This window comes from Homo sapiens, chromosome 6 (genome assembly GCF_000001405.40).
Source record: "Homo sapiens chromosome 6, GRCh38.p14 Primary Assembly".
Taxonomy (NCBI): Eukaryota; Metazoa; Chordata; class Mammalia; order Primates; family Hominidae; genus Homo; species Homo sapiens.
In genome coordinates, this window is record NC_000006.12 from 93,266,951 (window position 1) to 93,293,843 (window position 26,893).

The 26,893-nt window shown below is 33.4% G+C and overlaps 1 protein-coding gene across 10 annotated transcripts in view; it reads right to left on the reverse strand.

Moving 5' to 3' along the window:
• Window positions 1–26,893, reverse strand: part of EPHA7 (EPH receptor A7) — a 179,540-nt gene that overhangs the window by 26,931 nt on the left and 125,716 nt on the right. For 6 of the 10 annotated variants that reach the window (NM_001376465.1, NM_004440.4, NM_001376470.1 and 3 more), the window contains exons 6-7: window positions 5,348–5,472; window positions 2,527–2,710 (exon numbers count right to left, since the gene is read on the reverse strand). In NM_001376465.1, coding sequence (NP_001363394.1) covers window positions 2,527–2,710; window positions 5,348–5,472 — 309 coding nt within the window. The remainder of the gene's footprint in view (window positions 1–2,526; window positions 2,711–5,347; window positions 5,473–26,893) is intronic. The other 4 variants (NR_164810.1, NM_001376466.1, NM_001288629.2 and 1 more) reach the window with 1 other exon arrangement.

Sequence of the window (26,893 nt, forward strand, 5' to 3'; positions counted from 1 at the left end):
TAGAGTCTGCAAGTTCAAAGTCATTTTCATATAATATGAAGATGTTATTTGACTTTTTTACTCTCACTTGCTTATGAATGCAGTTAAGATTTTCAGAAGGTATATGACATGATAATACTATGACTCTGATGGCTAATAAAATGTTTGTGTGTTCTTGTGTTTTTAAAGTTTCCATTTTAATTTCTAATTTGGTGAATATTAATTGATATAACCAATATAAAACATTTTTTGATATCCCCAACATTTTTTAATAGTAAAAGGGCTCCTGGGATGGAAAATTTTGAGAAAGGCTGTGTTTAATAACAGCTGACACTTAAGACTTTCCATGATAGGGGCTCTCCTTGACATTTTGTATATTTAACTTAAACCTCAGAATGTTTTGTGAATTGAGTACTACTATACTAGAAATTAGGGTACAGAGACCCAGCTCATCCAAACTCCTATAACCGGACATGGCAGAGCAGAGAGATTTGAAACCAGGCAGCTCTCTACTGATACTGATTGATATTAATAATTCACTCTATGTTGATCAGTGTGAAGTATTCATTTATTGCTAGTTTACTGAGTGCCTTCTGTGCCTGAAACCATAGTAGGCACTGGCAAGACAACAGTAAGAAAAAGACATATGGATTCTTCTTTCATCAACTTGACATTCCAGTAGGAGAGAATATATTGATAGTAAAAATCACTAAATTCTAATGCAAAAATCCATTCTTAACATACATTTCATGTGATCTTTCAGGTTCCACTACTTTAATCTCTGAGTCTTGGTTACTTCTTTTTTAAATAATAAAAATGATATCTATGAATCTCAGCACACATTAAATGATAGTTTGGTTTAATATTCTCAATTTACAAAGTCAGGAAAAGGCATAAATTCATCTTGAAACTTTTGAAATCTAAAAGTGTTTTTAAATAATAAGGAATGGTTGGGTAAATGTGAGATAACTGACATTTTAAGTTTAAACTATTTATTAAAAGATGAAAAACATAATTTGAAGTATCTTATTATATCTGAATTTACAGGGTGATATTATGATATAGATCTGAGTTGAAAATTACTAGAGCACATTTTAACACTAACCACTCAAATGTTTAAATGTTGAAATCTTAACTTAAAATGCTTTAATGTTTTGGGGGACACTAAACTTTGATATGCTGATTCTTGATCTTATATAATCTATTTAAAAAGAATAATCATGAATAATGGTATTAAGTTTACCACATCAAATTATGTAGTAAATTTTTAAACTGATGCCTTTATGTTTACAACTCTATGTGAATGATTTATATGTCAAAATGATTTCAGCATACGTTTTTATTATTTGTGGCTATAAGAGTTACAGATTTATTTTAAAATGTAACAAAATATGTGGAAGAATAATACTGCTAGCAAACTTTACAAACATTAGTTAATGCAAAGGATATTTATCAATTTACTCCACCTTTTGAAGATCTATACAATTCTTCCTTTAAAGCCAAAATAATTCTTTAATCAAAATATTAATTTAATTTGTTTAAATATTTTTAATTGAGAAAAGTCATATAATATTTTCCAACTTAATTTTGATTAGAATTTTGGAGGAAGGCTGGATTGGCAAGGAGAAGAGATAACACCTGGGTAAACCATGTGCCTGAGCAGTAACATCAGGAGGAATCAAAACTCCAAAATATAGAAACATGTACTGAGACATCAGCTCTGTGGAGGAGCAACAGCAGTGGTATTCAGGGTGTTCTGAACTTGGACTCTGACAGCAAATGGGGACATCCATCCCAAGATATATCTGCTTACTTCTTATACACTATATATACACATGCATTTTTACTATAATCTTGTTGCATTGTAAAACATAAAATGATAAAGGGGCTTCAAAGATACTGGTTATATTCTATTTTTAAGATGAGTGGTCATAGGGATATTCATTTAATTATCTCCCTTATATTTCATATCTACTTTAAATAGATTCCTTAGTATGCATGAAATATTCCATAACAAAAATGAAAAATGTCAAAAACAAAAATAAAAACAAGTTCTAAGACCTTCCTGAACTCTAATTTTTGAAATCATTGCTAAAGGGCAATTCACTTAAATTAATACAGGTTCTTAGATACCATCTTTCTCTTGTCCACCTCACTACACATTCTGGCTTCATTTGTGGGTTTCTGTGAAGTAGCTGCTTTGATGGACACACTTAGAATAAGATTGTTTCGAGGTCGACAAACACATCTTGTGTCAATACACAAATTGAATCAGTCCTGCTTCTGTTTCTAATTTCACCTTTTTCAAAAAATAAATCTTGTATGCGTTAAAGAAACTAATTTAAATCACAAGGTTCTAAAATTGCTAAACAAAACAGCAAATGTTAAATTATTATGAACTTTTACAAAGTACATTTATATGTACATATATATTTATTTGTAAATGTAAAAATTATGATGGTGCAAATGATCACCTCAATATTGAAAAAAATATTAATATATGCTAGAGTTATTGAGAGTAGGAATCCAAACCAAAGGCATAATTACCTTCAAACATTTTACCTGTAGCTTCCTCTAGTGTAGCAACATCAAGTCTGGGACTGTAATTTCCATAACCAGCAGCAGTAAAAGCCCGAATCTGGAAAACATACACTGTTCCTGGTTTCAGATTATTAATGGAGGCTGAAGTAGACTTGGTTTTTACTGTTGAGTAGGTCCGTTCCCTTTGATCCTAGAAACAATATTTAGAGGAAATATTTAATTGTGATTGCAACCAGACAATTTGACAGCCAACTGTTTCAATTTAATTCAATTTGCTCCATTGTTTTTATAGAGGCTACATTGTACTTTGTGGAATATTATAAAGTTAAATCACTTCTAAGGTAATATAAAATGAAAATGTGAAACACATGCCTTTGTTATATATATTTAGGGCGAAATAATTTAGTTAAAACATTTATGGTGTTTTTAGCTTTCGCAGAAGTAATATGTGACAAGAACTATTTAGCCATAATATAATAAAATATCCTATTGGTCAAACAGTGGGTACACCTGTACAATCTACAGTTTAGTAGAGGTCATCAAATCATAATGTAGTTCTCTTAAGTTTTTTCTGAAAGTTATTCAGCAAGAAAAAAAGCCAGATGCTAAAAATCCAGAAAGTTATTAAATCAAGAAATTCAGATAACACTACTACTATACTGACATACCAATTTTTTTAAAACAACCCTGAATTTCTCACAGAATAAACCACTTCTGCAAAACAGTTTAATGAAATATTTTTAAAGTAAAATTATAAATATTAAAGTTTAAATATATATGATTTATGGTTTGAAAATATTTTAAACATGATTTATTTCATTTTGTTCATATTTCAGATATAAAAGCTAATGCAAATTTACTAAAATCAATTATATGCTTATTAACAATTTTTATCCTATCATTATCAAACATATTTTATGTGCATATATAGTAAGATTAAGAAGGGAATAAATGTAAAAACTCAAGCATATAAAAACTCCATCAAAACAATATTTAAATAAATAAAAATTTAAATCTTCCTTGATATGATTCTCACAAGCTATTTATGAATAAAAGTTGTAAAAATTATACTTCATAATATACAATATTAGAGAGTTCTTATTTGGTGTATAATAAATACATGTGTTCAACTTTATCTGGCAATGAAATTCTTCATTGAAATCTTAAAATGTCAATCAAGTTGTTTGATTTGCCTTCACAGTGAGATTTGCAAAAGTGTAAATAAATATATACTTAAGCTTGATTCACTCAAACTGATCTGTGATTGTCCTCATTATAATCATTTATAAAAATGATAGTTTGTATTACATGTATTTATCTCAAACGAAAGACCTAGGCATAACTCAGGTGACACAAACATCACGCATGCGTGCATATACATTACAATATAATACAATACAATATTATTATTGTCTTTTAGTTGCCTAATATGCAAATTTAGTGAATGTAGATTTCTGTAAGGCCAAAAAATGATTTGAACATATTTATTCTAGAGAAAATATTTGCAAAATATTTCAGATTTATATTGTAAGAAACTTTACTCTTACCACCTATGTGTTTCATTGCTTTTGAAATTGGATGCAATTTAAGCAGAGAATATAACTGATAGCTCTCATGGGAAAACAGATATACCAAAACCAGCATTAAAAACAATAATCCCCTCTAAAACACATTTGTTGGGACGATAAATGAAGCATATAAAATGCAACCTTAGCCATGAAGTCATGAATTCATAATGTAAGTAACAAGCAAAAATATTTTAAACTTAATCTGAACATTAAAACAAAATCATATTTTAAACTAATTTTTCTTTAAAAAAACAAAGGTATCTATTGCCAATGTACTATATACATTTCAATTTATTTAATCATGTCCATTCATCCCCAAAGTTTTCTCAAAGCTTTAAGCTCCTATTTTCTAATTCTATTGTCTAAACAGTTAAAATGGTTATGTGTATTATAGCACTTCAGGTAACTCAGGTAAGCCAAAAATAGTAACACTTATTACTGTTACTGTTGGTAATAGCAATGGTTTCCACGTTTCAAACCTTGCACTGAGTCTGTCTGTGAGGTGGGGTTTTAAATCACGATCTGTGAACATGGCTCACATAAACATTTTCTCTCTCTTTCCAAATGAAACAGAAATAAATATACTCATATACTCAGATGTATCGCTAGTTACTAAAATTTAGTCATTATAGGTGGATTAAAAAGGCAGCACTTGGGTGCTAAAAAGCCATAATATTTTTCCTGGAAGGAGAGGTGTAAATAAGTCCCATACATGATTATTAAAACATATATAAAATAAATTTCAGGAGGAATTTAAAGGAGTGAAATAACATCATCTGATTTGTAAGTCTGAAGAACTACATATTTATTATACAAAATATTCTTATTATTTCAAATTATTAAATTATTTGAGGTCATTATCATCACTGAAACCACATAAATTAAACAAACCATTAAGGTCCCAAACAGACATACTAAAGAAAATATTTTTCAAAATGCATTGGGCTGTGTGGTTTCTGTGGTACTAAAATATCCTACATCTAATTACTACAATATCAGAAATTGAATAAATAAATAAATATATATGCTACAAATGGGATACTTTCATTTGTGTAACACAGAAACTTAATACACAGAAATCACATTTATAATGATAAGCCAGAGATTCACAGAGATGGTTATTATAAATGGCTAAAATTAACTACGAAGTTTGAAGTAGCTCCAAATTGTTGGCATAATGACCAACTTTAGTCTACAATACAGTAGGATGACATGAGACACACAGCACATTGTACATTTCAGTTGCTCTTAGCACTTACTTTCTCGTAATACTTGATTTCATATTCTGTGATGACTCCATTGGGATGCTCTGGTTCCTGCCAGGAAAGCTCGACACTCCGCTGCAGTACTCTCTCCTTCATTACTCCACTCACTTGCGAGGGAGCTGTTTGGACAAGATGTGTCAATAAACAATGAGAAAATTCACTGGATGCCTCAAATCAAATGTCACAACTGATCAGTCCCATGCTGTGCCAGTTTCATTAAGGTAAAAGAAAGCACCTTTTCATAGCTCACAATTCAGAAGCTAATGAATATTCAAACAGGACCTTATTACTGTTCATAAACCTTAATAGAAATTTAAATTAAAGTGCAAACAGCAGAAGATAGCATTGTTCAAGTTAGTGAAAAATGGAAATGATGGGGCTGAGAATGACAATTAAGCAAATGAATGCTAATTAAGGCTAGAAAATATGATTTCAGATTAATCTCCAGTGATAAACTAAGTCCAAATATTTATTTCACATGCAACAGCAATACACTTTTTAAAAGAAAAAATAATTTAATATGATGCAAGAAAAAGTGTATGAAATGGCTACTTTGATCTTCAATTAAAGGAATCATATTTTTAAAAATGTTTCCATGTTTCACTTGGTGTGTGTATACTCCCAAAGAATTCCAAACAACTTTGGAAAACATTTTTAGACTTTATTAGGTCAAGATGCAAGAAAATGCAAAGGCTGCCTGCTACTTAAATTATGTGCATGAACACACATACATACACATGGACTCTTGCATGTGTAATTTATACCTACGTAACCTAGGCTTCAAGCTTTGAAAGGAGCAATTCAAAGCTACAATCTTGCTTTCTCTTTCTATATAGATAATAATATGCTTAGAGTTCTTTCATTCTAATTAGTGACATATACTCTTTTTGGTAGCTAAGTCTGTGGAATGTAGCAAACTAATTTGCTCGTCTAATTTGCTCAGTGATGATTAACTAGTTGTCTACTCTGTCTAAATGAGTAGCTGCACTGGCTTGGCTGAATTTCAGTGGGGTCATTATGTTTCATGTACCATGCTCTATCTCATTCTGTAAAATATTTTCAGGCTATTAATTTAATTTTCAGATGTCTGAAACTGTTAATAATCCTGCTGACAGAAAAGCAATTATATGGGACCAAGCCGTTTAAGCAACCTTCCGATGTTTATCCCTTTGGCTTTATTTTGTTTCTTCTACTTAATATTTTCTTGTATCAATGTCTAAAAACCACATTTTTCACTTCTTTCTGGCTTGGCGATTTTGAAGGAAGGACATGGAAGATACATGACTCTCATTTCCTCCCAGATTACTAACAAAAGCGTAACGAGGGCAGTTTAAGTGGGACAACTTTCCCTTGAAGGAGATGTAGCTGAAGTACTCAACAAACTGTGTTTACAGTCTAAATGCATTTCTGATATATTTTCAATGAAGCTAATTTCTAGTAAGAAATCTTATTTTTGTCACAACTTTTGAAACCTGAACATATACAGTAAACAATAACTTATCTCTAAAGTGACACATCTCTGTACCCAGAACCTGCTTAGCATAACTCAGTAGACTGCAACGTTCAAGAGGCTGCTTCCTTAGGCCATGGCCTTAGGAATCCAACTCCAACTAATTGTGACATGAGACTCTACTTGACAAATAATCTCTAGTAGCATAACTTACTTAACAAAATCATTCCAAAAAATTTACATTTTAACTAGTAAAAACAATAGACTGCAGCACAGGTGAGAATACTGCAATGGTTAACATACTGAGTTACCCAGGAGTTGCTGGTCTCTGATCAGAGTTTACCATTTATGTGTGCCATTTGAAAATAAGTTAGCTAGAAATAGGTTAGAGAGCTCGTATGTGTAAATCTCTAGGTTTCTTTCAAATAACACCAATAGCCTACTGTGATTTTCAGTATAAGTCAAACACTAAGACATGTTGCTTGGTTTCTATCCCTAACTATCACTTTGCTTGGTATGATAAAAGAGGCAGGAGACTCTGAATTCTTCAGGTTATGGAAAAGATTTGGGTTATAAATCTACCCTATTTAGTTTCTGATACATTGAAACAAGATCTAAATATAAAATGAGATGATTTTTGCAAGTTATACACTAAAATTACATTCATTATTTCCATCCTGGAAAATAATTTTTACCAATAAAATTATAGCAATTGGGAACTGAAAAAGAAAAGCTGCTAAAAATACTTCAAATATATAATATTTTGAAACTCATATCACAGTGCTGACAGTGAAATATGCTGCAACGTATTTTCCCTTTTGCACAGGATCCATATCTGTAAGTGAATATACTCCTGAATTCTTCTATATTTCTTTCTTTTTTTCTTGTATCCCTTGCTGATACTATATCAAGTCACACATTTTAAGAGGGTCAGAAACGGAAGCACTAGCACATGGCCCTTGAGAATGGATAAACTGCATGATAGGAAAAATCTCTCTCTGTCTAATGTCCTTCAAATACAACATTTGGTACAGGAAACGTGATTATATTTTCCCTGAGCTTCAGTATCTTAGGTATAAAGGATACACAACTCACAGGATATACAGCTTATAAACAAAAACATCTCTAGCCTAGTTATATTCTAACAAGGTAATTATTTTCAGATAAAGTTATATGTTAAAGTAAAATTAAAGTGGCATAAGGTATGTTAATCTTAAAACACAATGATTTCTATGGTCAATATATTTGATTTACTAAATTAACGTTATTGTAACAATCTCACTAAAAATGTGCTCACTCTTACACCAAAATATTCAATTAACTACAATCTAAAGTTCATTTCTGAAAAGAAAATAACAGTATACAAATGAATTATACAAATGAAATATACAAGTGACAATATACAAATGAATATACAAATGAATTAAATGCTTCAAGAACCAATTTGGTGTTATAACATTTAAATTATAATTTTCATAATTATCAAAATGAAATTAGACATGTTGTAATTGGAATTATGTGAAGATAATAAATAGTAACCAACAACAATAAAGTTCCAAATTGAAAGATGTAGGAGAAAACAAATACTGTATATAACAGAGCTTTTTGAACATAAATTTTTAGTAGGTTTTCTAACAAATAATTAACAGATTCATTTTCACTAGAGTTTCTAGAAGTATTCAAAAATAAAAATTAAATTCAACTGAAAAAACAGATGGAACTTCCTTTGCCCTTAAAGATCTTCAAGTCTTATCAGGGATATAAGATATAACAAATAAATAAAATATAAAACAGACTAAGCCATGAAGCAAATTATTAATCATATTTGGAATCTTCACAAATGACAATGACAAGAAGACCTTAGGAAATTCAAAATTTGTTTCCAGAGTTCAAAGTGGTAAATCTCAACAGCATAAAAACAAAATTGATAAATTTGATGAAAGAGTAAAGCAAAAGTCTAATGACAGGCACAAAAGTAAATTTGTGGAATGGGTTTGTTAGTATAAGGCTTTAAATTGAAAAATAATCAGTAACAAGAATGGTGGGTTTATGTACAGACCTGAACCAATCAGCATTTTTACAGATTTTGAGCTTCAAGCACTCATATGTGATCTTTGATCTTAATCAATTTCCAACTAAAATTCAATTACAAAACACGTATTTAAATTACAGAATGGAATTTATTCATAAGGTCTATGTACTGCCTCCCTCTACCCCCTGCCAACAGGTTAAGCTTAACTATTTGTAAAGGAAAATTTCTTAGCATGAAGTAGGGAAAAAGACAATTTTAAAGCACAGCAAAGTAGGCAGAGTGACCCCACGAAGATGTCTATACCCTAATCTCTGAAACATGTAAATATGTAAATTCCATGGCCAAAAGAGTACTGTAAATATAATTAAGGTTACAGACGTTAAAATAAAGAGATTATCCTGGATTCTTCCCAGTGGGCACTATCTAGTCATACGAGCCCTTAAGAGCAAACAGAGATGCTGTAGAAGTCAGAGAAATTTCAACTGTGGGAGGAACCAACTTGCCATTGTTGGAGGGGACCTCAGAGAAACATGCAAAGATACAAGGGCAGCTTTTAGGATCAGACTGGCCCTGATTGACCAGTACAGAAATCAATAATTCAGTCCTATCAGAGCAAAGAATTTGAATTCTTCCAACAACAGGAATGAGCTTGGAAGTGGATCTTCCCCAGAGTTTTCAAGTAAGAGCCAAGACCAGCCGATAACTTGATTTCAGCCTGTGAGGCTGGTAGTTGAACCTTGCTGTGCCCAGACTTGTGACCCACAGAACTGTGAGATAATAAATGAGTGTTTTAAATTGTTCACTGTTTGTGGTAATCTGTTATGGCAGCAATAGAAAATGAATACATGTAGTAAAAAAAGCAGACCTACTGAAATTTTTATGAAATTATGAAAACAGGCTAGTGATTGCATATTTAAATAACGTGATATTAAATTGTATGTTGAAATAGCATGGAATCAAGGAATATTGACCTTGATTAAGACCCAAAACACAATGTTTCACAGAAAAGAACTTAACCAAGATAATGAATTTCACTTTGGATTTAAAAAGTCATTTATTTATACCATTCATTTTTTCTACATTTACATGTTTCTAACTGAATTTAAACAAAGAATGGATGGAAAAATATACCTGTATTTTTCAACAGTACAATGAGGTAAGATGGGTCAACAAGCATAAAATGATCTTTCAGCAAATATATCAAGTTTTTAAATCCACTGAAATTTGTTAGATATCCATTAGGTAAATACAAAAAGGAAAAATAAAGATATCTCTGGAATACAGTCAAGGGAAAACCTGCTAATAGTAGAATGATGCTCTTTCATGGAACGCTTTTCCTATTGTACGTTATCAGCAAGAAATTCATTTTTAGCAATCCTTGAAATAACAAATGCGTGTGTTACTATGAGCTTAGTATTTTAAAATATACAACTTTTAGCTTTCTCACTCTTCCCCACAGGTGTTCATCTTTGTACTATAGGAAAAACACATAAAAATACATACAAATTTGCTTAAATAATGAAATACTTGGCCATAATTATACATGCAGTGCAGTGTATCATGTAACACAGCAATTCTATTTCTAGAGTATGTAGACATACATAAAAAATGCTAAACACATAATTTCACAACATTTCAATTTCTTGGCTTTGGAAAAACAGGGTGGCTAATAATATTAAGAATGATACATATGCAATTTTAGCTAAAAAAATAAGTACAGGAACTAAGGGTAATTGAACCTGTAGCAATTATGAGCTATTCTTTTGTGATAGACGTCTGTCAAATTATCTTTGGCTGGAGAGAAGCATGATCTGTAGTTAAAACCAACATAAATTTTCATTCTATAATAAGTATTTGAAAAAATCGGTGGAAGAGAAATGATGTTTTTTCAAAATTAAATTATGTTATTTGCATTGCTATCTACTTAACATACCAATTAGGATAATGATTTTCAAAATGTAAAATATACAATATAGTAAGATATATAACAGAATGAATTTCTAAATAAATTCAAGAAACAGTTACTAAAAAGACAATTTGACTAAGAAATAAGGTTTGAAAGTTCTGGAAAAAAATATGATGTTGAGCTGAAAAAGTAGGAAAATAAAAGCATCCTGCATAGTGGCCCCAGTCAGGTATACATGTGAGTTAAATCAATATATCTTCAGTAGAGTAATAAAATACCTAATAAGAACTACAAAAGTCACCACTTCACAATTTGATCAACCAAGAATCATTCTGTTCTTTAAGGCAGCGATTGTAAAAATGATCTGACAATACATCTTTCTGAGAATAAAGTTTTCTTCTTTTTTATCACCAGGTAATTGGAAACCAATTGTTTGGACATTTAATTAATTATTATAGGAGTTAGCACTTCTCAGAAAAATCTATAAGTAAAAGGCTTTAAGGGGCATCAGTTTGTGGAGAAGAGCTACTGTTGGTCATTGTTGCTAAACACATACTAGGACTCCTCCTAATCTCTGCTAAAGTACTGACTAAAATGTCAACTGTTGAAAGGTTAATGTGTAACACCTCATAAATTTTTATTTTAATAGAATTTCTCTTAATGTGAAAAAGATAAAATTTTGAACACAGTAGGTATAAATTAGGCAAATTCCCCAAACTGGCTGTCCTATTCATACCAGTCTTACAAAAGAATAACTCAATAATGACCTAACATGACAATTCAGAATGGTTAAGGAGTTCCTGATAGTAAGACACACATTATCTATCTTTTCAATCAACAAGTAATACTATCTTTTTACTGGTTTAGTTCTATTCAACAAGTATTTGTTTGGCATTTACTATATGCAAGGCATTGTGGATTTTTATAGTTCCTTAGAATTTGCAACATTAGATAGATAGACAGATGGATTTCTTCCCTTCTAAAACCCTATGAGGTAAATACTGCTTTTCTTGCTGTTTTTTTTTGTTGTTGTTGTGTGTGTGTGTGTGAAGAAGCTGAGCCTTAAAAATTAAGTAGCATCATCTCAGAGTCATATTTTTTATTTAATTCACGTTTTAAAGCCCTAATTCCCAACTTTTTTTCAATATACTGCAAAATTCTAGGCTCTGACACTTCCTGAGAGCAGAAACTAGCAAGAGGAAAGCTAAGCAGTCATTCACTCATTTAATATTTACTGAGAATCCATGATGTGCCAGGACATTAGGTTTTGAGAATATAAGGATCAAAAGACCCATAGGGATCTGCTCAGTAGGCAGTAGCAGTCTCAGAAGCTGCAGATACTAGAAGAGATTAAGCTGAGCAGAGATTTTTTAAATGGAAAATGTGTGTATATGCGACAAAATTCAAAAATACTAAAGCGTGAAAACTGACACTCCCTCCCAACCTGTCCCCATGTAACTAAGGTACTTTTCCCTGAAGCAACCACTCTTAGCAATTTATTTGGTATCCTTCCAGAAATTGTCTAGGTAAACACAAATATGTGCATGTTTTACATGAATGATATTTTTTGATTTATGCTGTATTTTATAACATATCATTTAACACATATAGATCTGCATCACTCTTTTATCAGCTCTGTTGTATTCCATTATACATATGCACCATGATTTATTTGACCAGACACTTATCAATAAGCATGGTCCTTTCCCACCTCTTTTTCTTACTAATTATGATCCAATGAAACTGCTGGCAAACTGGTATCTAATTAATTAATCCTATAAGAAGAGTAAAATATTTCAAAGTGGTCTAGTGCCCACAGGTGAAAAGAGGTAGGCAAAGTTACATGGACTGAATAGGCAAAATGTGGCAATTGTTAAAACTCCTTTAGAGGTTTTGCTTTAGAAAAGAAAATGAGCAATTTATTTGGTTATTATTATTTAAAATATTCTAGAGCAGTGCCACTCAAAGTGCAGGCTGGCTACTCAAAACACAGCTGCAAGTTGTTGGTGTGTGAGAGGAACTTGTGTCAGATGTACATCAACTACATCAGTAAGCACTTTTTTGTAGCTCAGCTGACGTTTTTTTCTTAGTAAGATTTCTTGATGAAAGAAGCATTTCTTTTTCTTTGCAGCTTCCTTGATCATTTTCTTTCTGGTGCTAGCTACTTATCTGTCATATGCTGGCATTTTGAGTAGCACTGACTTTTAAAAGTACGCTAGCATTAGTCTTAAATACCCTTCACTGTAACACTAAAATGCCCAAAAGGTATGATTACTATAACATTTTTACTGATTTCTGATGAAAACTCCTTTCGTTCATACCTTCAACATATAATTTCTCATGACTGATTATAGTATAAAGAGTTGTATGAATTGCAAAGATGATGATGTCTCAGTTACTACCTTCCAGGAGATTTAAATCCAGAAAACAAGTTAGAACATGAATGCTCACAAACAATCTAAATGCAAAACTAAATATCCTAACATAGATGAAATATAAATCAAGTGCCAACATATTCCTGGGAGACAGTAAAGAGCAAAACACACAGAATATTTTCCTGTTGTCAACCCCATTTGTAATTCAGCATTTGGTTGGTATATAGCCATGCACTTAAACAGCTTATCAAGACTGTTGGCATCATATCTATAATCTGCAAGTGATAACTTTATATCAATTAGATAATAACAAACTCAGTTTCAAGATTGGGCACACATTTTTCTGTCTAGTGGCCTCCACCAATAACCAACAACTCCTTGAATCATTCTTCCTCTGCTTCAACTAATACAGATTTCATTTTCTGTTGATAGTTGAGTGGCTACACAATGTGTCATTCAATTATGTTATACCTGTCTATCTCCTCAGCTATTCTGATGCTCCTTAAAGGTAGAAAACTTAGAGAAGCAGTAGAGTATAGGAATGAAGAGCATGGGCCAGAAAGCTAGTCCGTGGCTTATTTGCTGTGTGACCTTGAGCAGAAAATTGAACCTCTCTGTGTCTCAGTTTTCTCAGCTTTAAAATAAGGATAATCAGAATACTTACATCATAAATAGAATTGTTATGGAAATTAAATATATAAATAAATGTTAAATATTTAAAATCATTCCTAGCATGTGGTAAGAATTCCAAAAAAAAAGTATTATTATTCTATTATGACTTTGTTTGTATTAAAATTACTGATACCTGGGACACCTTCCAGAATACTCTGATTCTAAGATCAGATTCAGGCCTTCGTATTTTTCAAAAACTCCATAGATAAAGCTGACGGACAGCTGAGTTTGAGAATAATTCCTTTAAATCTTTTGCAGGAACATAAATTGCTATTCTAAGGTGGGATACCAGCACTCTCCATAATAAATGCTGGCAATGTTAGATTTTTGAAATCACATTGATAATTTTTATAAAATAGCTATTTCAGTAAATAATCCATTTGTATAATTTATACTGTTTTATATGCATGAGCTAGCTAGAAAAGTACATCATCAATGTTAAGTCACTTAGAAGGGATACATCATTGTAAGAAAATGAAATGACTACCAAAATGAGACGAAGACCAACAACACACACTCTTTTCAAAATGTTATAAAATATATTGAGAAAGAGAAATACACGGATGAAGTAACTTCTATTTTGATTGGTGAGGAAACTAATACTTTGAATGATTTGTTTTAAACTACTTTCGTACTTTTACAGTCAGTAAACTGGCTCCATCTTTAATTTTCCATGAATTCATAGCCAAAGGGTACTTCACAAGGTCAACTATATAACTGTGGCTTTGCTTTAATGACAAAATAATCATAGAAATGATTTATCAGGAAGTATGGGACAGCTATGGCCTACAACCAGACTCCTTTAACAATAAACCTTTAAGTAGAATATGTGTATACATGTCTACGCACACACACAAACACACACATACATTAGTTAATGACCTCCCTTGCAGGTCATCAGAGTAACATTTTCAGTTGTGCACATTTTCTTTGACCTCAGAACTTTTTTTTAAATAAAGAGAGAAATAATAGTATTCCAATCTCAAAAATATTATAATGCCAGTTGACAATTTTTGACATGATAACATAGTCTAAATGTCATACTATGGGTATCTTTAAATTTCCATAGCTATATTTAAATTCTTTACAATATGGATTTCTGTATTACACAGGTAAATTATATTTTAAATTTGATGTACAATAACTGTATTTCCTTACAACATGCACATCAGTATAATCCTTCATTTAGATAAGGTAAATTTATATATTATATATTTCATAAAATGTACAAATAATTTTATGTAATATATACAATTTTACATATATATGTCACTATGTGCTTAAGTAAGCTTATTAGTTCCTCTTCCAAAGTATGTGCACAATGTTTATAACGTTGTCATGTACATAATAATACTCTGGAAATTCATAGATTTGGTTTACTTTTAAGAAACAGTAAATCATGTATTTAAACAATATATAATTTGTTTATTAAGAACAGGGTCCATGAGAAGGAAACTGAAGAAAAAGGGAATATGAGATTTGTCTTTAAGGCAGATGTTACACATTCTGTTAATCATACACATTCATAATAAATCCTATTTATCCATTTAAATAAAACTTCCATTACGGAACACTGAGTGCTTAATAGGTGACTACACTGTTTATAATTTCCCAAATACTTTTCCATCACACCAGCATTTTTCATTATTGTGAACACAATGAATGGATTACAACCGAAGTTTTAAAAAATAAATTAGAATAAAAATTGAGTTCACTGCAGATAGTAATGAGAGGTGACAGCATGCTGGCAGCCCTCGCAGCCCTCACTCACTCTTGGCGCCTCCTCGGCCTTGGCGCCTACTCTGGCCACACTTGAGGAGCCCTTCGACCTGCGGCTGCACTGTGGGAGCCCCTTTTTGGGCTGGCCAAGGCTGGAGCCGGCTCCTTCAGCTTGCGGGGAGGTGTGGAGGGAGAGGGGCAGGCAGGAGCTGGGGCTGCGCACAGCGCTTGCGGGCCAGCGCGAGTTCCCGGTGGGCGTGGGCTCGGCGGGCCCCTCACTCAGAGCCGCGGGACCTGCCAGCCCCGAGCAGTGAGGGGCTTAGCACCTGGGCCAGCAGCTGCTGTGGTCGATTTCTCCCCCGGCCTTAGCTGCCTCCCTGCAGGGCAGGGCTCAGGACCTGCACCCTGCCATGCCTGAGCCTCCTCCGTCCCCCTCCCCATGGGTTCCTGCATGGCCAGAGCCTCCCCGAGGAGCGCTGCCCCCTTCTCCACCGTGCCTAGTCCCATCGACCACCCAAGGGCTGAGGAGTGCAGGAGCAGGGCGCGGGACTGGCAGGCAGCTCCACCTGCGGCCCCGGTGCGGGATCCATTGGGTGAAGCCAGCTGGGCTCCTGAGTCTAGTGGGGACTTGGAGAACCTTTATGTCTAGCTAAGGGATTGTGAATGCACCAATCGGCACTCTGTATCTAGCTCAAGGTTTGTAAATACACCAATCAGCACTCTGTGTCTAGCTCAGGGTTTGTAAATACACCAATTGACACTCTGTATCTAGCTAATCTAGTGGGGACATGGAGAACTTTTGTGTCTAGCTCAGGGATTGTAAACACACCAATCAGCACCCTGTCAAAACAGACCAATCAGCTCTCTGTAAAACAGACCAATCAGCAGGATGTGGGTGGGGCCAGATAAGAGAATAAAAGCAGGCTGCCCGAGCCAGCAGTGGCAATCCTCTCAGGTCCCCTTCCACACTGTGGAAGCTTTTTCACTCTTTGTGATAAATCTTGCTGCTGCTCACTCTTTTGGGTCCACATTGCCTTTATGAGCTGTAACAATCAATGCGAAGGTCTGCAGCTTCACTCCTGAAGCCAGCAAGACCACGAACCCACCAGAAGGAACGAACAACTCCAGACGCACTGCCTTAAGAGCTGTAACACTCACCGCGAAGGTCTGCAGCTTCACTCCCGAAGCCAGCGAGACCAGGAGCCCACCAGAAGGAAGAAACTCCAAACACATCCGAATATCAGAAGAAACAAACTCTGGACACGCCACCTTTAAAAACTGTAACACTCACCACGAGGGTCCGCGGCTTCATTCTTGAAGTCAGTGAGACCAAGAACCCCCCAATTCCGGACACAGTAATATAGTTTCACAGAACCTTTGCTTCACATGTTTATGTGCATATGGATCAAGGAAAATAAAGATATATAATATGCATCTACTAATTACTATAAATACAATTTAAAGTTTTGGAAATCACTATATTACATAAAATATAATTGAAGGTATGCCTATTCTTAAAGTGATATTCATTTAAGCTGATAAAATACAAAACATAATTCATACAGCAAAAATGCTTGATAGTTCCATATTATACCATTAATTTACTCCATCCCAAAGTTCTCAATAATGGTTGAAGAGAATGATCAATTTCATTATATTTTGGCTGCTATCAGTACCATAGTTGTTTCTATTTTATTCTATCTTTTTATTTTATTTCTCTCCTTTTTTCCTGCTATATTTTTTGACTGTATGTTTTCCAGGCCTAAAACCCATATATATCAAACATAAATTGACTTTCTTAAACATGATTTAACAATGTTAGTTTTTGCAGAATTCTTCCTCGTTAGTGGCTTTGCTCATTTATTTTTTTTTTTCAAAATCATCATTCTGGTGTTCCTCAGAGTGATGATCTGTAAAGTGGATTATCCTACAAGGGGAAGAAGAAAAGAAACAGGAAAGAAAGGAGAAAGAAAAGAATAAGAAAGATCAGCAGCAGCAGGGGGAGAAGGAAGTGAAAAGGAAGGAAAATGAATGTGGCTTGAGACTCATTAATACTACCTCATTTATAAAGATATATGCACACATATGTTTATTGTGGCACTGTCCACAGTAGCAAAGTCATGGAACCAACCCAAATGCCAATCAACATCAATGACAGACTGGATAAAGAAAATGTGCTAAATATACACAATGGAATACTATGAAGCCATAAAAAAGGATAGGTTCATGTCCTTTGCAGGGACATGGATGACACTGGAAACCATCATTCTCAGAAAACTAACACAAGAACAGAAACCCAAACACCTCATGTTCTCACTCGTAAGTGGGAGTTGAACAATGAGAACACATGGACACAGGGAGGGGAACATCACACACCAGGGCCTGTTGGGGGGTGGGGGGCTAGGGGAGGGATAGCATTAGGAGAAATACGTAATGTAGATGATGGGTTGATGGGTGCAGCAAACCACCATGGCGTGTGTATACCTATGTAACAAACCTGCACATTCTGCACATGTATCCCAGAACTTAAAGTATAATTAAAAAAAAGTACAGTTAAAAAACTTATCATTTCAATTGCTCCAGGTACTCTGAATACATTGTATCTCAAAAGTGCATAAACTTAAGAAATTCATATTGCTTAATAAGTTCTCAATATTAGTCAAGATTTACCACTTTATTGCAAGAATCTGTTACAAACTGAGCACTTAAGTTTAATATTTTCTGCTAAATACATTTTGATTAGCTTTGCAACTTCTATTTTAAAGTTGTTGTTTTACAAAGCAGCATTAATTTACTATATAATATTTTAGTACCAAGAGAAAATTAACGCAGCTAATTAATACCCAAGAATCACTGCACTGGGAAGATCTGGCTTATAATGAATAGTTATACAGAGTGAGAGTTACCATTTTATGAATAAGTTTGGCTCCAAAAGTTAATTTGTAATTTCATTGTTTGTAATTTGGAGTTAACACAGAAGTAATATCAGAAATAGCAGATTGCTAGGCCAGCCAACAAACATGTATTTGACCCAGAATGTTCTTAAACTATTGTAAATTTGCACAGATAAGAAATCGAAAACAATTCTGTTTTAATATTATTAACTATGCAAAAGAGAAAAACCAAGACAAAGAATAAAATGTGTTTGCTATTTCTACTGATGCAGTTGCTTCAATTACAGGAATGAAGATCTCCCTGAATTCTCCCCATATTCTGATATCTCTTAGCCAAGGACAGAAACTTTTGCTTGTTGTCTGCCTGTCTCCTTCTCTTGCCACATATGAAGTTCCGGCTTTATTCCTAAATAATCTCCAGCCAGCAAGAAATAACGAACTCAAAAACTAACTAGGATATAAATATAAAGTAGATGATGTACTGACTTTCATCTTTTTTCAGTTAGAGCTGGGGTCTGTGGCCCATGGGCCATATCTGGCTAGCCACTTGTTTTTGTAAATAAGGTTTCATTGGAACACAGCGGCACCCTTTTTTACATATTCCCTCTGGCTGCTTCTGTGCCAAAATGTGAGTGCTGGGGAATTCTAACACAGAAAACATGGCCTGCAGGATGTGAAATATTTATTACCTGGCCCTTTTCAGAAAAAGTTTGCCTTTCTCTGAGTTACAGTCTGTTTGGCTTCAAGTAAGAAAACTCAAAAAACTAGTAATTTGATTGTTGTTGTTTTTCCTTACACACACACACACACACACCCTACACACACACCCCCACACAAATGTATTCTACAGATGGGCATCTATGTTTTATTCAGTTGTTCAAGGCTATACAGATGATTCTCATGGCCTTTCCCTCTTGGCTGTTGCTGCTACCACACCTATGACATCTATATTGCGGCATGGAGAAGGAATAAGCAATGCGAATGCTCAGCACCTGAATTAGGAAAGCCAAAGTTTCCAGTAAGCTATGGAAATCTTCTGTTTGCATCTTATTCCCTAGGCTGGGAAATGGATTTTTAAAATGTAATCTGGCTGTACTGCTGCACTAAAAAATATGGTAAATAAGAAGAAAGAAGATATTAGGGAGAAAACTAGCAGTGTCTGTCACCTTCATCATCCCAATAGCAGAGGAGAGGGAGATCACACACTTAACTTGATTCTCCCTGCTCCCCAGTTAATTTCTTCTCTGAATATAGAACAGAAGAAACCAAAGGAATTGATTCAGATTTCCTAAGTGAAGGCACCAGATCATGGATAAAAATAATGTTTTTAAACTGGGGCTTGGAAGACTATATATGATAGCATTAAACCTTCATTTGTCAGGTTTAAAAGGTAGCAGGTGAGAAAAATATTTTTTGCTTGTATCTGGGAGTTTTCAGGTGAAGCTTTTCCCTCCAGGACCAGACAGCTGTGGAGACCCTGAACAGGGCAAAGGTTGCGTCTGAAACAGTCACATCCGGTGATTTAAACATATTTCCAGTGACAGAAGTCATTTACTAGATGGCATATATAATATGTTAACTAGCATGAATATAGTACTTTTTAAAAGACTTTCAATAACATTTAATTTCTCTGTTTTATAATTGAGAAATATTTATTTGAAAAAGTCTCAAATTGATTCACAGTACTAACAAGGAATACTCCACCATGCATATTTTTGGCACTTAGTATATGCTAAATAAACGAATAATGGTGTGACACTACAAATTACCTTCACTCTTTTATATAAGCCAGTGTCTTCCTATCTATTGGATTCTTCCTGAAAGATTTTGTGTAAACTCTCCCATGAAAATAAAATTGTTTCTCAAGCCTATAACTCTTTCCACCTGCTGGGGAATCTCTTTTCTTCACTGTATAGCCAAATATGAAAAAAATTGTCCATATTCTTTTTCTCCATTTCTCAACTCCTTTCATGTTTCAACCTTCTTTAGTCTGGCTTCGGTCCACCTCATTCCATTAAATGAGTTATTGATAAGGTTACTCACACTGAAGTGCTTTTCTCAATCCCTACTTTTCTTGGACTCTCAGTAGCATTAATATTTTTAATCTCTCTGTCCTTTTCTCCTTGGCTTTTGTGGCACATTCTCTTCTAGTTTTTCTCCTGTCTGGTTGATTCTTTTTTTTTTTTTAACTTTTATTTTTAGTTCAAGGGTACCTGTGCAGGTATGTTATATAGGTAAACTCGTGTCATGGGGGTTTGTTGTACAGATTATTTCATCACCAAGATATTAAGCCTAGTACCCATTAGTTATTTTTCCTGATCCTCTCCCTCCTTCCACCCTCCAACCTCCAAAATGCCCCAGTATGTGTTGTTCCCTCTGTGTGTCCATGTGTTCTCCTTATTTAGCTACCACTTTGTTTCCTTTGCAAACCCCTTCTCCTCAAGCAAGAGTCAAATTTCTTCAAGGCCATATGAAAAGATGTTCATCATTATTAGTTATTAGGAAAATACAGATTAAACCTACAGTAAGATATCACTTGACACCCAACTAGAATGACTATAATTTTAAAAAATCTAGATAATAACATGTGTTGGCAAGAATTTGAAAATAGAATTCTTTATACGTTGTTGGTAGAAATGCAAAGTGGTGCAGCCACTATGTAAAAGCAGTTTTTTTTAAAGAGTTAAATATAAAGTTACCATATGACCTAGTAATTCCACTCTTAGTTATCTACCCGCAAGAAATGAAAACACAGGTCCACACAAATATTTAAATGTGAATGTTCACAGCAATATTATTCATATAGCCCAAAAGTGGAAACAACATAAAGGTTCATAAACTAGCAAACAAATAAGGTAGAATACATACAAAGAAATAGAAGTGCTCAATACAAATGGATGGATAGGCTGTACAGTACAACATAGAAGTACCTCAAAAAATTAGGCTAGGTGAAAGAAGCCAGACGACATTGTATGATCCTGCTTATATGACATGTCTAGAACAGACAATTTTAGACACAAAGCAGTTTCGTGGTTGCCTAGGTCTAGGGGTGAGAATGGGAATACATGTAAATGGGCAGAAGGGATCTTATGGGGTTATGGAAATGTTCTAATACTGGATTGTGGTGATGCTTGCACAGCTCAGTACATTTATTAAAATCACTGAATTATACATTTGAACTGGGTGAATTTTATCATATGCAAATTATACTTAATAAAAACTGTTTAAAATACTTAATTTTGCATGACTTTTAGAATAAGAAACAAAATCATTACCATGACTTACTGTCTGAGCCCCATGTATTTTTCCAGCCTCACCATGCATAAATCTTCCCTCATTTTGTGCACCTTATACTCTTTTCTGTTGCTTGGCTCTGCCCAGCTGCTTTTCACACCAAGTTGAGATATCATTCTGACTGTTCTTTTCTTAAAGTGACTTTCCTAACTTCTCTGAGTAAAATCCATCTCTTATGTGTTCTAGTGGAATTAGCAAATATCTTTTTATAACACTTTACAGCTGAAAATTGGCATGCGTTTGTATGATCATTTGATGACTATTTGTTTTCCCCACTAGACTGCAAGTACCATAAAGTGATGGGGAGGCCACATTTGGTTTTGCTAACCAATATGTTCCCATTATTTATCACAGCATGCAACTTTAGACATATATTAAATTCTGTTTAAATGAATGAATAACAACTATCAATTATCTAAAATTTCCCTCTTGGATAGGAAGCTTTTTTTCCCCCCATATAAGTTCTAGGTTATTTATTTGCTCAAGTACTAAAATATCTTATAAAACTTTGTAAAATTGTACACACACCTCAAGATCACTTTATATTTTTAACTAGTGCTTGCAATGTATATTGCAATTCTCTAAGAGGGAAACATCATTAACTCTCAAATGACAGAGAAGCAAATTAGTGATACCATGTATAGTTAGAATAACAACTTGAAAGTCAGCAATAATTTTTTTGATAATTTTTAATATATCACTAAGAAATTTTGATAACAATGAATTACAACTATTAATTCATAGTTTATAAACAGATAGCTTTTAAAAGTATGTAGATCCTGGCTAACATGGTGAAATCCCGTCTCTACTAAAAATACAAAAAAAAAAATTAGCTGGGAGTGGTGGCGAGCACCTGTAGTCCCAGCTACTTGGGAGACTGAGGCAGGAGAATGGCGTGAACCTGGGAGGTGGGGCTTGCATTGGGCCAAGATCGCGCCACTGCACTGGAGCCTGGGTGACAGTGCAAGACTCCATCTCAAAAAAATAAAAAAATAAAAAAATAAGAAAGTATGTAGAATAATTTTGTTAAAAGTAATCTTAAGGTTTACCTTATTTTAAACAAATATTCCAAATGCAACCAAGTTCTCTCATTACATTTTGTCTGCATGCCTAAACAGGAATTTGGAGATTAAGTAGGACATATAAAATCATTGGTTACATATAACACACTTACTAATAAAACAAAGCCCATCAAAATGATAGTGTCAATTCCCTGAATTTTCATTTAAATGGTCATCACAATGAAGGATTTTAGTTTATATATTCCCTTTGCCTTAAAACCGTTTTGGATGGAAAAGCAAAATATGAACAAATTATTAAAGAACAATTTTTGTCTAAACTGATATACACTCTATTTTATACACAACATGCATCTTCTTAATATTTATTGTAATTTTCCATGTAATAAAATGCTTATAGTTCTTTATAGTATCTAAGCCAAGAGTTTCCTTTTAAACTTGTCATATATGTATATGTGCATAAATATACACATATGTAATGATTTTTGTATAAAAAGTTCTTCATATTTATAGTCAAAAGCAATTTTGACTATATATAGTAATATAAAATATGACATATAAAATATGAACAAACATATTTTGGTAATTCTCTGACTAGTGAATTCCATAATATGATAACTACAGAAAAGTATTATGTAACAAATGACTTGTACCTTCTTGGAAATATTTCTCATTTAATATAATGCTGTCATGGAAACTGTATTGGCTCATATTCTCTAAAAATGAATTCTATATATAATAATTGTACAAGATTGATAAGGTTTCAGCTCTCCATTCAAATGATAGGTAATACATACAAAATGGCATTGGAAATTTCTTCAACTCTTAGCAATTTGCCAGGTCTAATTCAGAGAGACTGGAATTAGTCCCTAGAAGTCTGATAACTTTCAGTTATCTAAAATCTTCCTCTGGAATAGAAGTAATTTCTCCTTTCTTTCCTCTCTCTCTCCTTTAATTTTAGCTTTAGGTTAATTATTCAGTTTTAGATCTCTTTTGCTTAAACCATTAGATTATATACAAACTATAACCAAGGTTTGGCAGTAATGTTTGCTTGCTGAGATGTGAAGCAACACAGGGTATGAGTACCTTCCATTACAGGACTTCTCACTAAACATAACAGCGAGGCTCTTACGAATGCCCAGTGTCCTAGCATTTTAAGATTTGTGGCCCAGCAAAAGTCACACAAATGACTCTTTAAAGGGAATTCTATCTAATAGTTAATATAAACTGGATTCTGCATTTCATCATCATCATCATAAAGCAAACAAAAAATACAGCTGCAAACAATGAATACAACATTGAAATAGATCCCAGTAGTTTATGTTGCAAATACTACTCTGTAGATGTTCACTTACTATTTGCAAATCACTGACCAAGAAATCCGAATTTTTCTTTAAAATGAGTAAATTTTATATTTTGATAGTAATAAAATTTGTTCAGTAGTGCGTGTCTCTGAAAACCCCCTTATGGATACATCCCTGATTTCTGTCCTAAACTGTCTTGGATGGCAAGCAAAAGCAATTGTGTAACATATTTTGTTTATAAAGTACTACATATCAATGAGAAATAAAAGGAATACTCTCTACAGTTTGTACTTACTAAAATTTTATTTTGAATGCAATGTTCCTTATGCAATGTTTTAAAATAAGAACTTTTGAATTTAACAGAATTCTAAGGCTTTTACGGTTTTTGTTTTTTTAGTCAAAGACCAAAGAGAATTATCATTAAGCGTCTAATCACACAGGCAAATAAAATATTTGACAAAAGCTGCAAAATTGATTAAACTTCCATCACTAAACAACAGATAAAAAATACTTTTCTGGGCCGGGCGCGGTGGCTCACGCCTGTAATCCCAGCACTTTGGGAGGCCGAGGCGGGCGGATCACGAGGTCAGGAGATCGAGACCATCCCGGCTAAAACGGTGAAACCCCGTCTCTACTAAAAATACAAAAAATTAGCCGGGCGTAGTGGCGGGCGCCTGTAGTCCCAGCTACTTGGGAGGCTGAGGCAGGAGAATGGCGTGAACCCGGGAGGCGGAGCTGGCAGTGAGCCGAGATCCCGCCACTGCACTCCAGCCTGGGCGACAGAGCGAGACTCCGTCTCAAAAAAAAAAAAAAAAAAAATACTTTTCTGGAACCAGATTACCAGGTTATGTGTACAAAAACAAGAATTATTTGTCAGTTGCTTCCCAATGATTCATTTGCAAAACTGTACATTACTCCTCAGATAAGGTGCAAAAGAACTTTAGCCACACACACATCAAAATATTCAAGGTATGTAACATACATGGAATATAATTCCATTATATTCCAAAGTTAGAAAAAATATTTTCAAATCAACATAAATTTTACTTCTCATATTTGGAATTAAACAATAACATATGATTGGGTACTGTCTCATAAGCATATATAGTTAACTACAGTAAACAGAAAGTGTATTACTGAAGACACTCCCCACACTCCTTCACAAGATTTGAAGTCATGCAAGAAAAGGCACAATCCCAGCTCTGTCACTTATTAGTTAAGTCATTTTGTCCAAGTTGCTAAATGCTCTCCCTCCCCTTGCCCCCAACTTATTACTTTTATTTTTTAATACTTATTTTTATTTTGCATATCAATAGGGAACATGACTTGGTAAATGCAGTCATAAATACAAAAGTATTCACATCTCTACTTTCAATGCTACCTAATATTTTAATTTTACCCTAGTATTTTAAATATCTCTGTCTAAACTGCTGATACCATTTAGAAAAACAATATTATTTATGGGAAACCTGATGATTTAGGAAGAGACAGGCAGAAATGCAGCATTCTTATTTGTATTGAAAAGTTGTGTTTTTTTTTGGGGGGGCGGTATTCAGTTAAGTTGCCACATGACAAAGCTGACCCAGATAAAAGGTTATGGAGTACTACTGTATTAGGCTATTAATATCTATTGCTTTAGATCAATATCCAAGAAATTCCCAACTGTTTTTACAAGCTCAGCATATGAAAGTAGGTATAAATAAATAAGTTACTTTACACTAACAATAACCTACAGAGAAGTAACAACATCATCAGACAACTTTTCATTTTGTAGTGTAAATATAATATAATGCTTACAACTTCTATGAATACTAGAGAGAAAGGCAAACAACCCATTGAACTACAGGTGATAAGACTGGAAGATAGTGATAGAGAGAGGTATTCAAGATAAATCTGCGCTCCTGCCAAGTGCTCCATTTCTAATTGTTTGCACTCATTTTGGAGAAGGTATAAACTCTTTAAATTCATGCTGATCTGTGGGCACAAAGAGGGTAAGAAAGATGTTATTCTTTTAAGTTAGAAGATGCTAGTAAATGATAGAGATGAGAAATAGTTTGAGGCCTTGTACAATTGAAAAGAAATGATAAATTCTTTTTTCTAATATTAAGTTAAAGATTTTTTAAAAATATTGACAAAATCATACACATTTAAGAATTAGATTATTAAAAATCAGGTAATACATAGAAAAGACTATGTAAACCCATATATATATATATAATTTTTTGTTATTCATAATTTAGTTTGCAAAATATTCAATCTATCATTTAATCTTATTTAGGTATTTTTAAAATTTAAAACAATCAAATTTTAGTGATAATTTAAGAATTATGTTTCAGAATATTTAGGTATTTAGTATTAAGAATTATTAATGAATTCTGAAATATTTTCCTTTGGTTTTAAAGTAAAAATATTTTGCAATATGAGATAAGCTTCATAAAGAGATGTGAAGTCATATAAGACATTTAGAAAAATTAGATATGAAGGTTTATCTGTCATGTTTTTATGGGTAGTGCTTGCTCCCAAGATCATCATTATGGAATCCTGTTTTTCTTTGACATTTGAAAGAAAATATCGTCATTCTCACGTCTTTTTAAAACCAATCTGTCGACACTGGTATCAAACAACTTTGAACTCATGTTGAGTTGTGTAACAAGTGACAATATCAACTCCCAAGACAACCAAAATGCTTGCTTCATGAATGCATTTTGACAGGTCAGATGCTAACTCGATACTTACAAATGTGCAGCAGCAATAAGTGAGCATCACAAACAGTAAAGAAAAGCTTTCAATTTCCTTGGAAGACATGTTTATGTTCTCTGGAAAAATGTTATATGTTAATTATGGTTCCTTTGTCTTGTCTTTGTTATGATTCAGC